A 15,195-nucleotide genomic window follows, 5' to 3' on the forward strand; every position below is an offset into this window, starting at 1 on the left:
CCACTTTGATTCCTCAAGACTTCAGCATCAAAACAGCATTCCAAACAGAAGACAAATGCACTGCAAACCAAAGAGTAATGGAGACAAAAAGCATGAAATGCCCACTGAAATCCCTAAAGCCTCTATAAAATCGTACTCTGAAAAGCCTCCGAGGCATCTGGGCTTATAATTTGTTCACTGTCTCTCCAGATTCCATCACACCCCAGTTTTATGAGGCCTGGGCTTGGGGTGATGTGAATGGTCACCTTTCCCACCTCTGGTGGCTCTTTTATCTTGCTCCAGTTGATGACCTTGATGCTTCTAGAGGAAGGAAGCAGAGGCTTCTGTCACTGAGACAGCTTCTGGTCACTTGAGCAACACAGGGGCTAAGTTCTAGAGCTCCCAGCCCTGCCTCCCAGGAGAGAGCCACAGATCACTCACTCTCCTTTTTTTCTTCCCCTTTACTTGGAGGTGGAATTCCAAGCAGAGAAGCCAGAGGCTGCCTGTGCTGTGATATTGAAGATAGAAATACTACCCTGAAGTTCCTGGCATGAAAAATATCACAGTACAGGCAGCCTCTGGAAATGGAATGAATATACCATGGTTAGAAAAATGCATCAGGCTGCAAAATTTTCACCAGGCAGTCCTACTATTAATAATGTCATATGATATATTTTTTAATAAAGCAATACATTAAAAAACGAATAGTAACTGGAATTGAAAAAGTCCTGGCTGTATCACCAGATGTGTCTTCTTCAGTAAGCCATTGAATTTCTGAGAGTTCTCAGAAATCGTGTAATGGGGGAAGAGCCTAACGCCCTCCTCCCAGGTCCCTAATCTCCCAGGAGATTAAAGGGGCTGTGGGATGGGAAAGCACTTTGGAAATTGTAAATAGCTACAACAAAGTTAATTGCTATTCTCATTAGAGCTATGAGGCTTTTAGTGGCTTTAGGCATTAATAATAGATGAGCTAGCATCCAGGACTGTGGGCCGTAGTTTTAAGTTTCTGTTGATTCTTGTTGTATTTTGATTTATTAGGTCCAACTTAATCTATTTCAGGCCAAGGCAATGGGTTGTGAGCTGAGTAAATAATAAAGATAATGTGATGCACTTAACACAGTCAGAAGAGGACTGTCCCCAATTAGTCTTTTTTTTTTTTTTTTTTTTCTAGCACAGAAAAAAGCACAGCTCTTACTGTATCTGAAAGACACTTTGGTAGGAATGCTCATCAAGACGGGGCTTGCACCTGAGGCCATTTCTTAGGAGTAGCTTTTGCCTGCATCATAATTTCAGAACATGTGATACTTGGGATGCTTTTCGTCATTGAGGTTTACTTGTCTTTATATGGAACATAATTTGTACCTGCAAAATCAAGACTTAACGATTAATTGTTTTCCCTTATGGAAGCCTAAGGCTTGTTTCTACGTATTTCCAGGGTTTTGTTCTTTAAGGAACACATGCTTATGAAAAAACACAAATACTTTCAGCAAAAAGTCTTCTGTGTCTCCCTTCCTCAAGTTGAGCTTGGAGTCAGTGGAGCTCTGATCTGCATTTGCATTTGAGAGGGATGCCTTCTTGGCAAATACAGCATGCCAGATATGTCAGTATTGGGTTGCTTGGAACTCCTTAAGCTTACTTAAACATTCTTTAGAAACACATTCCTTTGAAGAGCTCAGCAGAGCTCCCAGCCACGAGAATGCTAGGCTTATTCACAGCGTGGCTTTTACTCTCTGTAACTAATCCACAGCACATCTCTCTGGAAGGAAGCAAAATTTAGCAAGTTGCCTGTTGATTGTGTACCATACAGTATTTTTGCATTAAAGAAAACTACTTATTTCAGATACCTGGGGAGGGGCTTTATGGATAACATCCATGTGGAGATGCTTGAAAATACTGTTTGTTACACCAAAGTGAATGGGTGTTTTGTGCTTGTGTGATGCAGTAACTATGATTCTTATTTCATTTATTTCTCATTTAGAAGGTGTCGTGGTGCTAAGTCTCTGATACAAGGAGTTATCTTAAAAAAAAAAAGGCAGTGACTTGAACTGAGTGGTAGGAATAATAATATGTCCCATCTCATCACCTCCCCACAGGATTTATGTGTTCTTTTAATGGGTCTGGTTTGTGGATCGTTTCACCTTCATTGGTTTCCAGCTGAAAGTGCTGGTGGGCAGCTGCTGCAGATGATTAACACTTTCACCTAGCCTCCCATATTCTTATTGTTAACATTAAATTACACTTGCCTTAAATCTCTTTTTATTCAGTTTCTTCATTGGTTGTTAGATGTTTGTAACTTTTTTCCCCCAAGGTCCACCATGTTTCTTCATAGCAACCATGGTAATTATTAGGATAGTAGGCATATCTGGGGTTTACACTGCCTGTTTATTTGAAAAATATTTTTTCAGTTTCAGGTATATAGTTATTTCAAATAATGTAACATTGCCATACTTAACGTAACTATAATAAAAATAACTTAACCATAATTATCTCATGCAGAATAATCATTTGAACATTCCAAAGGTGATATAAAGAGAAATAGACTGGGCATGGTGTCTCATGCTTGTAATCCTAGCACTTTGGGAGGCTGAAGCAGGTGGATCGCTTGAGCCCAGGAGTTCGAGACCAGCCTGGGCAAGGTGGCGAAACCATGGCGAACCTTTATTTAAAAAACATGGCAAAGCGTTATTATTTAAAAAAAAAAGGATAAAGGGAAATAGGTCCAAATCCCTATCTACTAAAAGCTTACAGCCTAGTCTTATTTATTTTTTAGAAGAGTCTGGGCCAATGAATACTTTTTAAAAAGTTGGCTTTTAAAGCATATGCAGATTTGATCCTTGCTTTCCTTACCTGACGGGACCCTTTTTGAGCTTTTGGCTATTGTCAAGAAAATATAGCAATTAAATCCCATTATGATAATAGCTATGGAAATGTAGTACTTACAGTGGCAGGTACTATTCTAAGTGTTATTTATGTTAATTGATTTAAATTTAAAAATACAGAGATCTTCACTTAGGGTATGACAAGATAAATTTTATTCCACCAAGGGGACTGGGGTGTGGAGGTGGGGGTTGGCTGGTTCTAACAGGATTTCCCCCATCCTTTGCTGCAGCTGCTTCTATTTCTATATAACTCTGGGCTGTAACCCCTCCACCACACCCTCTGCACCCTCCCTATAGTGCTGCCCCTTCCAATGTCTCTTTCATCCTGCAGGCAGCAGGGTTCTTGGCTTGGACTCACACAGTTCTTTCAGCCAGAACCAGAGGTAATCTGCAGAAGCTATAATATCTCACTGAGGTTAGTAATTGGAAAAAACTACTGAACTCTCAGGCTGTGATGAGCTTTTTGCATTAGGCTAGTGGGTGGGTCTGATGCTTTTTGGCTGCTGGGGTGATCAAGGAAGGATTGAAAGAGAAAGACGAGAGTCCTCAGAAATGGGGTCCCACTGCTTCTAAGGTTGTGCACATTAGGAAGTCGTGATTAGGCCAGTGCCTAATGTTACCTCTCTTGGGCAGAGAGGACAGAAAGCCATTAGAGGACAGAAGGCCATTGGTTCGGGTGTTTATTTTATGCCTGCTGCATCTCATAAAGCCCCTGGGCTGTAGAAGGAGAGTTTAGGTTGCTCTGGACAGAGTATGGGCTTCTGAGTCAGAGGGAACTTGAGTTTGGCCCCTTGTACTGCTTACTATGTGTGTAGACGTGGGCAAGTTACCTAATCCCCTACATTCTTCATCTTGTCATCAAATTCAATAAATATTAAGTGCCTGCTATATGTGGCTGATATAGGCTTGAACAAAACAAGTTCTATTCTCAAGGAGCCAGAGAGGGTGACAAATGGTAAACAAAATAAATTAATACATTATATAGATGGCAATAAGTGCTAAGACTGCAGTTTTAAATAGGGTAGTCAGAGAAGGCATCACTGATTAGGTAACATTTGTACAAACACTTGTAGGCCCTAAGGGAGAAGCCTGTTTCACTAGCTGGTGATAAGAGCATTCCTTGTAGAGGGACCATAGTGCAAGGCCTTGAGGCAGGGGTGTGCCTGGTGTGTTGGTAGAGGAGCAAGGAGGCTGGTGTGGCCAGAGCAGAATGAGCCAAGGGAGCAGGAGGTGATGTAATCAGAGAGGTAAGTGGGGAGCAGACGCTGGAGGACTTTGGAGACCATTGTCCAGACCTGGGCGCTTATTCTGGGTAAAATGAGAAGCCACAGTGGTAGTGAGGGAGAGGGTGTTTGAGTAGAAAAGTGACAAGGTCTGACCTGAGGTTTAAAGGATCACCTTGGCAGTTGTATTGAGATAGTGTGGGGGGCGGGGGGTGGGGGGGAAGGAAGAACGGAAACAGAAAGACCAGGCACGGGGCTGTTCAGCATCCACGTGAGAGGTGATGGAGGCCTGCATCAAGATGGGAGTGGTAAACGAGGGAGAATGATCGTATCCATTTAATAATAACCAGCTGATGGGATGCTGTGAGGTTAAATGGGATGCGTAGGGAACGTGGGTTTGTAGGTTCTCCATAGAGGGTAGCTGCTGCTCTTATTATTGAGACTCTTGTTGTAGGACAGTCTCTCTCTCGCTCTCGCTCGCGCTCTCGCTCTTTTAGACAGGGTCTCGCTCGGTTGCCCAGGCTGGAGTGCAGTGGCACGATCATAGCTTATTGCACCCTTGAACTCCTGGGCTCAAGAGATCCTCTGCCTCAACTTCTTGAGTAGCTGGGATAAAGACATGTGCTACCCGCCTGGTTAAATTAAAAAAAAAAAAATTATAGCGATGTGGCCTTGCTATATTGACCAGGCTGGTCTCAAACTCCTGGACTCAAGCAATCCTCCTTTCTTGGCCTCCCAAAGTACTAGGATTATAAGTGTGAGCTACTCTGCCTGGCTGAAGGACGGTCTTGAAGTAAAGGAAACAAATTGGGAATTTGCCCATCCAGTCTGCAGCAGTAGTGTGGGGAATAGAACTTAGACGTGCTGGCTTTAAAGCAAATAGAGGGCTTCTTGCCTTTCCCTTTAATGAAAAATCTAAATCACTGTGCACCCACAGCCTGGAAATGCTCAATTAAATCGCATGCACGTCACAGAACTCCTGACATCACAGCTTCTTTTTTTGGCCCCACCTTATACCGTGTGAGCTTTAACTGTAAGTAGCGAGCTTGGTTTCCATGAGTCACATGTGTCCACAGGTAAGTTGTGTGGCTGATTGGCCCATTATGTCAATTTCAGATTAGCTTTTATGGTTTTAGTTTCCCTGTGTGTCCTCCCCTTGCCCTTTCTTCTCTGCAGGCAGAGTTGGTCTAATCCTGACCATCCTGGGGCTATGCTGGTTCTCCATTTCCTTACCCGGCATCTGTATTTCTGCCTTCTCCAGGGGCTGTCCTCCCGTATGCACCATCTGTGCAATTTCAGCACTTGCTACCCATCCTGAAGTGCTTAGAGATTGAGTAGTTGGAAAATAAACAGTGGAGGGATCATTGTATTTTCATTTTTTAGTGTTCTTAAAAGATACAGGATTTCTGTTGTGAATAAGTAAGGGATCAGCATAGGAAACAGCAACTCCTCTAGGCATTTTAAGCAGAAGGAGACAGAATTGAGTGCTCACAGAATCACTGGCAGGGCTGGGCCCTCAGAGCAACTCCCAGAAGAGTGAAGATCTGGTCCTCTGGCAGGGCTGCCAATTACAGGACATTAACTGGACCTGTAGGTTCAAGAATCCACTCTTTACTGGGTTCCAAAGTTCAGGAAGCCTGAACGGAGAAGGGTCTGCCACTACAGTGCCTCCTGGCACTCAAGAGAGTGGCCCTAGAGTGTGGTTACAGAAAACCCACCCATTTTGTGCAGCCATTATGGAAAGCCATATGGAGGTTCCTCAGAAAATTCAAAATAGAACTGCATTGTGATCCAGCAATCCCACCTCTGGGTATATATCCAAAGGAAATGAAATCACTGTCATAAAGAGACATCAGCACCCCACGTTTGTTGCAGCATTACTTAAAATAGCCAAGATGTGGAAATAACCTGTGTCCACTGAATAAAGGAAATGAACCCCAGTAGTATATTCATCCTTAATAAAGGAGAGCCTGCCATTTGCGAAAACATGCGTGAACCTGCAAGATGTTATACTAAATGAAATAAGCCAAACACATGACACTACTGTGTGATTCCACTTATATGTGGAATCTTAAAAAGTCAAACTCATAGAAATAGAGTAGGAAGGTAGTTGCGGGGGCTGGGGGAGGGCGGTGGAAGCAATGGGAACATGTTAGTCAAAGGGTATAAACTTTCAGTTATAAGATGAATAAGTTCTGGAGATCCAATGTGCAGCATGGTGACTATAGTTAGTGTATTATGCTTGAAAATTGCAAGGAGAGTAGATCTTAAGTATTCTCACCACATACAAAAGTAACTGAGGTGATGGATGTGTTAATTAACCCGATTGTGGTACTCATTTAGGAATGTATGCATATATCAAAACATGTTTACCTTAAATTTATACAATTTTATTTATTTTTATTTTTTGAGATGGAGTTTCTGTCACCCAGGCTGGGGTGCAGTGGCGCAATCTCAGCTCACTGCAACCTCCACCTCCCGGGTTCAAGCTATTCTTCTGCTTCAGCCTCTCGAGTAGCTGGGATTACAGGCGTGTGTTACCGTGCCAGGCTAATTTTTGTATTTTTAGTAGAGACGGGGTTTCACCATGTTGGCCGGGCTGCTCTTGAACTCCTGACGTCAAGCGATCCGCCCTCCTTGGCCTCCCAAAGTGCTGAGATTACAGGCGTAAGCCACCACCCCCAGCCTAAATTTATACAATTTAAATTTGTCAGTTATACCTCAACGAAGCTGGACAAAACAAAACAAAAACCCACTTCCCATTCCACAGTTTGCTTGCCAGCCAAAAGCTGCCCAGAGAAGGCCTCTGCTTCACTTCCTCCCTAATTTTGCACAGGTGACTTTAGTTGGTTCGCATCCCGATCTCTAGCTGCAAGGTGTGGAGCCTGAAAAATGTAGTGTTTAACCTTCTGTCCTCTCCAACTAGGAGGCAGTTGAGGTGAGATTAAACAAGCCAATCCCTAGTCTGCCTCACCTCATGCTTGTCTGTGGTGAATACTGCAGGGGCCTCTTCTTCCATGTGTTGGCATTGGCCAGTGTTGAGGATTCCATATGCAATATAAATAAGACTCTATGCTAAACACTGAATCCAACTGTCAATATTTTCCAAGCTTATCTCTAGTACAATACTGTGTGCTTTGTAACAGGGTAACTTTTATTATCAATTAACATTGTGATGACCACCTCTGATATCTGTAAAATAAACAAAGTAGGCTCCAATCACTGACAGGCAGATTTTGGTTTGTTTATATTTGAAGAAAATAATGGGTCTGTATTTCTGTTAAACACATAATTTTTTTTATGGTTCATATCATTACATAAAAAGACTGGGCTAGTTGCATTATTTATGTAAAAATATATTCTCAGTATTTGATATGAACAGCAATTTTAGCATACTCTTCACTATAAAAATATGCAGGAGTGGATGTTAAGTATAGGTAAATAGCAAGGAAAGCACAAACCAGCATCAGCACTGGTCTTACCAGTCTGATTTCTCTGGAGTGCAGAATTACCCATTTGTTGCAGCTCTATGTTGAGCAATGTTCTGTAAAAGTTAATCAAGTGTCTTTAATCATTAGCTGATAAAGCAGCAGGGAATTAAGCTAGCCTAATTAGTTTGGGAACTAAATCAGACAGAACAAACAGAGCACGGGGTAGGACAAATGGATGTTTGGTGGCCTCATTGGAAGAAATAGGTTACCTTTGATATTATGGTAATTCCTTGTCATTCATGGGATTCCTGAGAAGTGCCCTTGCTGATAAAAACTGAAATTGGCAGATCAGTGTCTATTTCAAAATTGGGAGTTGGGATAAAATAAAGTAGCACATACACATCTAATCCTACTTTATATATACACATGTATACTATAAAATATATATAGTAAATGCTCCAAAGATAGCTGCTTCCAAAACAGACTATATTCCTTGGTAATTCTTTCAAATCATTTTATTTTATTGTTCAGGAAACTTTCCTGTAGCTGTGTCCTAGAATGATCCAGCTGCCAGTTTTATATTATGCAGCCTACACTTTTCCCCCCAAGTTTGATTATGAAAATGTTCATACATACAGCAAAGCTGACTTTTACAGTGAACACCTGTATACCTACCACCTGCATAAATTCTATATTTTATTAAGCTTGCTTTATCACCTAGATACCACCTGTATTCATTATTTATTGCTGTATAACAAATTACCCCAAACTTAGTACTTTATTTAAAACAATAAACATTTAGTATTCCGTACTGTTTTTGTGCGCCAGGAATCCAGGAGTGGCTGGGTGGTTCTGGCTCAAGGTCCCTTGTGAGGTTGCAGTCTAAGACATTGGCTAGGGCTGCAGTCTTCTGTGCTTTGATTGAGCCTGGACAATCTGCCTCCAGGAGGTCTCACCCACATGGCTGTTGGCTTGAACCTTAAAGGATAGCTCTGGTCAGGTACAAATGGGTGTTGACAGTAAGTGACCTAGAAGTGATGAGAGTTGGGGAAATCAGGGAATTCCCAGGAGGTGGAACTTGCCATAGCATCCCAGCCAGGGCACAGGTGCAGAAAGAGAAAGTCATATGAAGTGTAAAGCAGAATGAGAGCATGGCTCAGAGATACGTGTGGGGGGCAAAAAGGATTTCCAGCAGAAAAGATAGATTACATTGGGGGAGGTGGCTTTAATGGCTCCTAAAGGGAGGGTGCCTCAGCTACTGAGATTGAAATTGTCGGACACGGTCATCAACATTAGAAAAACAGCAGCACTGAGATTTATTTTCCTGGTTACCTATATTTTATTCACATATTTAAGTGTTAAACTGAGGTTGAAATGTTGTGAATGGTCCCCACTTCTTAAAGCTTTGCTCTACTGGGAGATTTTTAAGAAAATCTCACGGCACATCTTCCTAATTTTTAAATTTGTATTCCTGTTCCTGACCCCAGAATAGGCCCAACTAGACAACAGATCTGTGGGAATGTTTGGCTCTCCATGAACCACAAAGACTCCTCCAACACAGAGGTGCAGTACCCACCTGGGCCAAGGAGGGAAGATGCAGGTGAGGAGGGTGCTTCCAAAAGGTGTGTGGAGCTGTTTGTTGAGGGCCATGAAGCTCTTGCACAGGGATGGGAGGAGGCAACTAACCAGGGCTCTGGGTGGAGGCCAGCTGCCCTCCCTCTGGGCGACTGTGCACCCTCCCACTCTCCCTGGGAGGCGGGCGCTTCCTTTGAAGTGCACCAGTGACCTGCCTCTCTCCTGGCTGCTTCCTGATGTCTTGCTGGCAGCAAGTGGGCTAGGGTCGGCTTGCCCAGAGGGGCGCATCCAGGTGGGGTTCACCTTTCTGAACCAGGTAGGGAATGTCTTGGTGCTCCCTTGATTTGAAGGGGAGGACCATCCTTTATTGGCAAAGAACAGAGAGCAAACAATGAAAAGACCACACTGGGCCAAGTCAGTGACCCATGAATAAGGAATTCCAAGCTTTTAGTGCGGGAGAGCCTTGGAAATCATCTCATACAGCCCCTTCACTTAAAGATAAGAAAGAAACATGAAGCCAAGGGACTGGACAACTAGTTTAAGGGTGGGCTAAGTAAGACGTGGAAGTCCTGGTTTTCTGTTACTGAGGGCTGCAGTTTATTTTATGCCTACTTTGTATGTATTGGATTCTGTAGAATGACAGTTCACACAGTGCCAATTCATTATATTACAAAGATAAAACATTGCCTTTATTTTTTTCTCAAAATAATAAAGGTTATATGGTACTTGCGGCATTAGCACTTGCCAGGTACTGTTCTCCCTTCCTGACAGATAGAAATCGTCATTTAATCTTCTAACAGACCTATGAGGTGAATACCATTACTTTCCCCACTTTATGGGTGAGGAAACTGAGGCCCAAAGAGGTCAAGTTAACTTCTCCCAAGTAATGTGGTGATGTCTAGATAGTGAGTGACAGCATTGGGATTTAAGCCAAGTATGCTGACTTCACAATCCATGTTCTTAACCACACTATACCTTAATCGCCAGTGCAAACATTAGCGCTGTTTACTGGCTTTTCAAAGCTTTCTGTTTTCCAGGCATGTGATGGGCTTGCGTTTCCTGGCCTCCTTGTGTTTTTGGAGCCATGTGACTACTTCTAGCCATGTTGAGAGAAGCATGCTATATCACTTTTGGGCTAAGTCACTCTGTCACCAGTGTGTGACCCTCCAGATCTCTCTTGCCCTCTGCTGTGGAGACTGGCAAAGCTCCAGATGGTGGTTGCTCTGTCAGTCTGGGCAAGTTGGAGAGGAAACAGCCTCAGCCAGCCCTAAGTGGGTGTAGCATAAATGCAAAATCAACTTATGTTATTTAGCCACTGAGATTTGAGGCTTGTTTGTTACTACAGCATAATTTAGCCTATCTTGAGTCACATAATAATCTCTGATGTGCCTAACGTTTTAAGGGGCACATTAGCAAATAGGTTGGCCACTTAAAAGTCTTTCCAAATAGTTTTTTTTTTTTTTAGCCTCATTGGGAAGCATTCATGTTATTCTTTATATACAGAAAGCACCTGGTACTGTGGCAATAGCATAGAGCAGAGCTTGAGATGGAAAGTTCTGTTTTTTGGTCCTTATTATTTTTGCTAATTCAACAGCTTTATTGATATCTAGTTCACATACCATAAAATTTACTTAAAGTGTATAATTCTGTGGGTTTTGGTATATTCATAGAGTTGTGCAACAATCATCTCAATTAATTTTAGAAGACTTTCATCACCTCCAGAAGAAACCTGTACTTATTAGCAGTGACTCCTATTTCCCCCCAATCTCCCCGGCCCTAGTCTACAAGTGATACAATTTCTGTCTCTGTATTTGCCTTTTCTGGACATTTTATATAAATACAATCATATAAAATGTAAGTTCTGTGAAGGATCTTGGCTTTGCTCTATGCTGTAACTCTGTACCCCTCACAGTACCTGTACATAGTAGGTGCTCAGTGTATATCTGTTGGGTAAGTGAGTGGTTACTGAAGGTCGGAGTGGAGAGCCGGATGGTGATGGCTGGTGTTGCTTAGCATTGCCCTGGACAGGGAATAAAGGGAGCGGTAGAATCACCTGCTGACAACATCTCCTCTTCATCCAGAGACTTCTGTGTCAGGGCTTATTATAAGGATGTGATCATAGGCCCAGTGAAAGCAGCTACCCTTGACATGGGGTAAGTCATCTATAAAACACCGCATTGCAAGGCTGAGGTCATGAAGGGGTACGAGTGGGCCCACCACAGCCCGATTCCTCTTCCTCCGTAGACTCTTCCCAAATACACACTTTTCTCAGGACCTCACTGGATTCCTTCTCCTCTCAGGTTCCTGGCTTCCCTTCCCTGGCTACCTGGCCAGGGCTATGGCTTGTAGCCATTTCTCAGAGGCACACACTGAGGCATTGGGAGATTCCTGCTCCTGCTCTGAGTAGTGCTGCAGCCATTCCTGGCTTGCTGGTCTGGATTTTCTACCCCTACCTGCAGACCCAAGTCTGGGTACCCTGTTTGCCTTAAGTACTCATCTTGCATTATTTAAGACTACAAGGAGGCAAGAGTAGTTAGTGGTTAAAGGCATAGTCTGTGGGGTCAGGCACTCTGAAGCTTGAGGGCCAGATCTGCCATTTATTAGCTGTGAATCTCCAGGTGAGTTACTAAACCTTTTTGAGCCTTTGTTTCTAATCTGTAGAATGGGCATATGAATAGTAATATGAATAAATTTGTAAGAGTTACATAGAATAATGCATAGAAAGTGCTTAGTGCAATGCCTGGCCCAGGAAAATGTTTGCTATGGCTTTTGATACAATCTAATTTGGTCCTGATATTGTTGATGTCACTATTCCCTAGGGAACAAAAGAACTACATTTTTTTGTTTGTTTTAGGATTACCTTATGATTTGCAAAATGATTTTGTGGCAAATAACTGAATTCCCTGTGCTTGTCATCTTCTGAAAGGGAAGTCAAAGGAAGTGAATAGAGAAATGTGGCCACAGCAGAGACCAAAGAACCTGACTGTTTTTTTAATTTTTAAAAACATTAAAAAAATTTTTTTTTTGTAGAGACAAGGTCTCACTCTGTTGCCCAGGCTGGTCTCGAACTCCTGGGCTTAGGTGATCCTCCCACCCCGGCCTCTCAAAGTGCTGGGATTACAGGCCTAAGCCTGACAGTTTGGTCTTAGGTATGCTCCTGATTGTGGGGTTACCTTGACTGTTCTTTGAGTCCTGGAGAAGTCAACATGAAAGCAGTTACAAGGTCATATGATAAGCCTGTATGGGCCATGTAGATAGACTTCCATGCATAGATGGTATAGAAAAGTAAAAATTATCTTCTGCTTTGATCGTTGTTACTCCCAACATAAACTTACAGCAACAGTCTTAAACGCCAGTCAATGCTATATTTGTAAAACATCCAGTAGAGAGGTTGGGTCTCCTGATGAACAAAGGAAAGTTTGCAGTGTTAAGTGTCATACAGATTTGTCATTGCACTCTATTCTCTCCACTCCCACATGAACTACCATGGGGCAAATCTAAGCCACCTCTTGGTTTTGGTCTCAGAACAATGAGTGTCTGTTTCTAAGTTAGGGGGCGGAGTGCAGTCATGGGTTTTGGGGATCCCATACTGTCACTGGCAGCCAGCTGTGCAGCCTGGAGTGTGGGGCTGTGGCCAGGGTGGGCACAAGGAGCAGCATCTGTGTTTGTCTGTTGGGGTAAACCTGGACTTTGGCTGGAGGAGATATTTTCAGTGCTTTACCAGTATTAGTGAAGCATGGAATTGGATTCCCTGGAAGTGTCAGAAATGCCAATAAGCTTAGCAAATGGCTGTGCAGCATGTTGCACATAAATATCAATTTTAATCAGATACTGATTGGGATAGATTTCATAGCTAATCTAGAAGAAGTAATAATCTTTGTTGTCTGTCTTAGAAGAGTGAATGGTTTCCACTCAGAAAATTCAGATCTGGAAGCTCATAGTTCATAGCTGTTTTTTTCTTTTCTATTTCTTTTTCCTTTTTTTCTTTCTTTTTCTCTCTTTTTTTTAAGAGATAATGTCTTGCTCTGTTGCCCAGGCTGGAGTGCAGCGGTGGGATCATTGCTCACTGCAGCCTTGAATTCCTGGGCTCAAGGGATCCTCCTGCCTCCGCTTCCTGAGTAGCTGGGACTATAGGCATGTGCAACCATGCCTGGCTAAATTTGAAAAAGTATTTTTAGAGACAGAGACTCACTATGTTGCCCAGGCTGGTCTCAAACTCCTCAGTTTCCTGAGTAGCTGGGATTACAGGCATGAACCACTGTGCATGGCTGTCATGGCTGTTTTTTCTTTTAACTTTCAATTAAAATATATACCAAATGAAAAGTGCACAAACCGTAAAAATACAGATTGATGAATTTTCACAAAGGGAATGCCATCACGTAACTACCACCCAAATCAGGAAATTGAATACTGCCAAATTTCCAGTATCCCCCCTCCCAATCCTTAACCTGCTTTCCCCTCCAAATCACTCTCTTGACTTATAATGCAATCGATGACTTTTGCCTGTTCTGAATTCTATATAAGGAGAATCATATGGCATATCCTTTTTGTATCTGACCTCTTTTGCTTAGCAGGATATTTGCAAGATTTATCCACATGGTTATAAATAGTAATAGTTTATTGATTTACATTCTTATGTAGTATGAACATATATCACAGTTTATCCCTTCTGCTATTTATGTACATTTTGGTTGTTTTACAGTTTTAAAAAATTATCTGTATTTTAAATTTCATTTTCAACTTTGCTGTTAAATTACCAAACAATAAACTACTTAAGAACATAACCTAAATATTTTGGTTAACTACATTCTGGAACAGAAAGGCATTAATGTTAGTCTTAGGTGGCAGTGAGCTTCACAGAGACACACAAAGAGAGAGCAAAGTGAAGAACAAGGCAATCTCTCCCTATTTATGGCATGGCAAAGCAATTCAGAATGCGTTCACTATTTCTATAGATAAATTTTTTAATGTATAATGTGGGAAAATTTAATGTTCCAATTTATGAAAACAAGAATTATCAGACTGTCACATTCCAATGACTTAAGTAGCTAAACCTTACATCAAGCTTGTCTCACCCGTGGCCAGTGGGCTGCCATATGGCCCAGGATGGCTTTTCATGTGGCCCAACACAAAGTCGTAAGCTTTCTTAAAACATTATGAAGGGCCGGGTGCGGTAGATCATGCCTGTAATCCCTGCACTTTGGGAAGCCGAGGTGGGCAGATCACATGAAGTCGGGAGTTAAAAACTACCCTGGCCAACATGGTGAAACCCATCTGTACTAAAAATACAAAAAATTAGCCGGGCATTGTGGCATGTACCCGTAATCCGAGCTACTTGGGAGGCTGAGGCAGGAGAATCGCTTGAACCTGGGGGGCGGAGGTTGCAGTGAGCTGAGATTGTGCCACTGCACTCCAGTTTGGGTTACAGAGCAAGACTCCATCTCAAAAAAAAAAATTTTTTTGGAGTTTTTGTTTTGTTTTGTTTTGTTTTAAGCTCATCAGCTATTGTTAGTGTTAGTGTATTTTATATGTGGCCCAAGACAATTCTACTTTTTCCAATGTGGCCCAGTGAAGCCAAAAGATTGGACACCCCTGCCGTAAATGGAATTAAAATGTTGGGCATAAGATATCCTCAAAAGACTGTCATAATATATTTTGTGGAAATAGTTCACTTCATTTCTATGATTAGATGGATTACCAATAATTTATAGTTTATTATGAGTAATGCTGCAGTGAACATTCCCCATATGTCCTTTGGTGTACATGTTTGTATTTCTGTTGATTATATACCTAGAATTGGAATTGTTTGGGCATGGGATATATAGATGTTTGGCACTACCAAACAGTTTTCTAAAGCAGTTATACCAGTTTACATCCTCAGGCACAGGTGTTAAAAGAGTTAGCATTGCTCCAGATCTGTGTCAACCATGGTGTTTCCAGTCTTTTAAAATTTTAGTCCTTCTTGTCTGGGCGTAGTAGTTTTACTTCCTATTTCCTTGATGACTTTTGAAGTTGAGCACCTTTCCATATGCTTATTGGCTGTCTGGATAACCTGTTTGGTGAAATTACCTTTTCAAACTCTGGAGCATTTTCCTATTAGATTATCTT

General features: G+C 42.1%; 1 protein-coding gene and 1 long non-coding RNA gene across 16 annotated transcripts in view; one reads left to right on the forward strand and one right to left on the reverse strand.

Annotated features, from left to right (window-relative positions):
- Window positions 1–15,195, forward strand: part of ANKRD6 (ankyrin repeat domain 6) — a 200,683-nt gene that overhangs the window by 66,695 nt on the left and 118,793 nt on the right. The window lies entirely within an intron of this gene.
- Window positions 8,428–12,335, reverse strand: LOC105377889 (uncharacterized). The gene is made up of 3 exons (XR_001744257.2): window positions 12,261–12,335; window positions 11,003–11,107; window positions 8,428–8,490 (listed from the first exon to the last, which is right to left on the reverse strand). It is a non-coding gene; the product is annotated as an uncharacterized LOC105377889 (long non-coding RNA).

Source organism: Homo sapiens, chromosome 6 (genome assembly GCF_000001405.40).
Source record: "Homo sapiens chromosome 6, GRCh38.p14 Primary Assembly".
Lineage (NCBI taxonomy): Eukaryota > Metazoa > Chordata > Mammalia > Primates > Hominidae > Homo > Homo sapiens.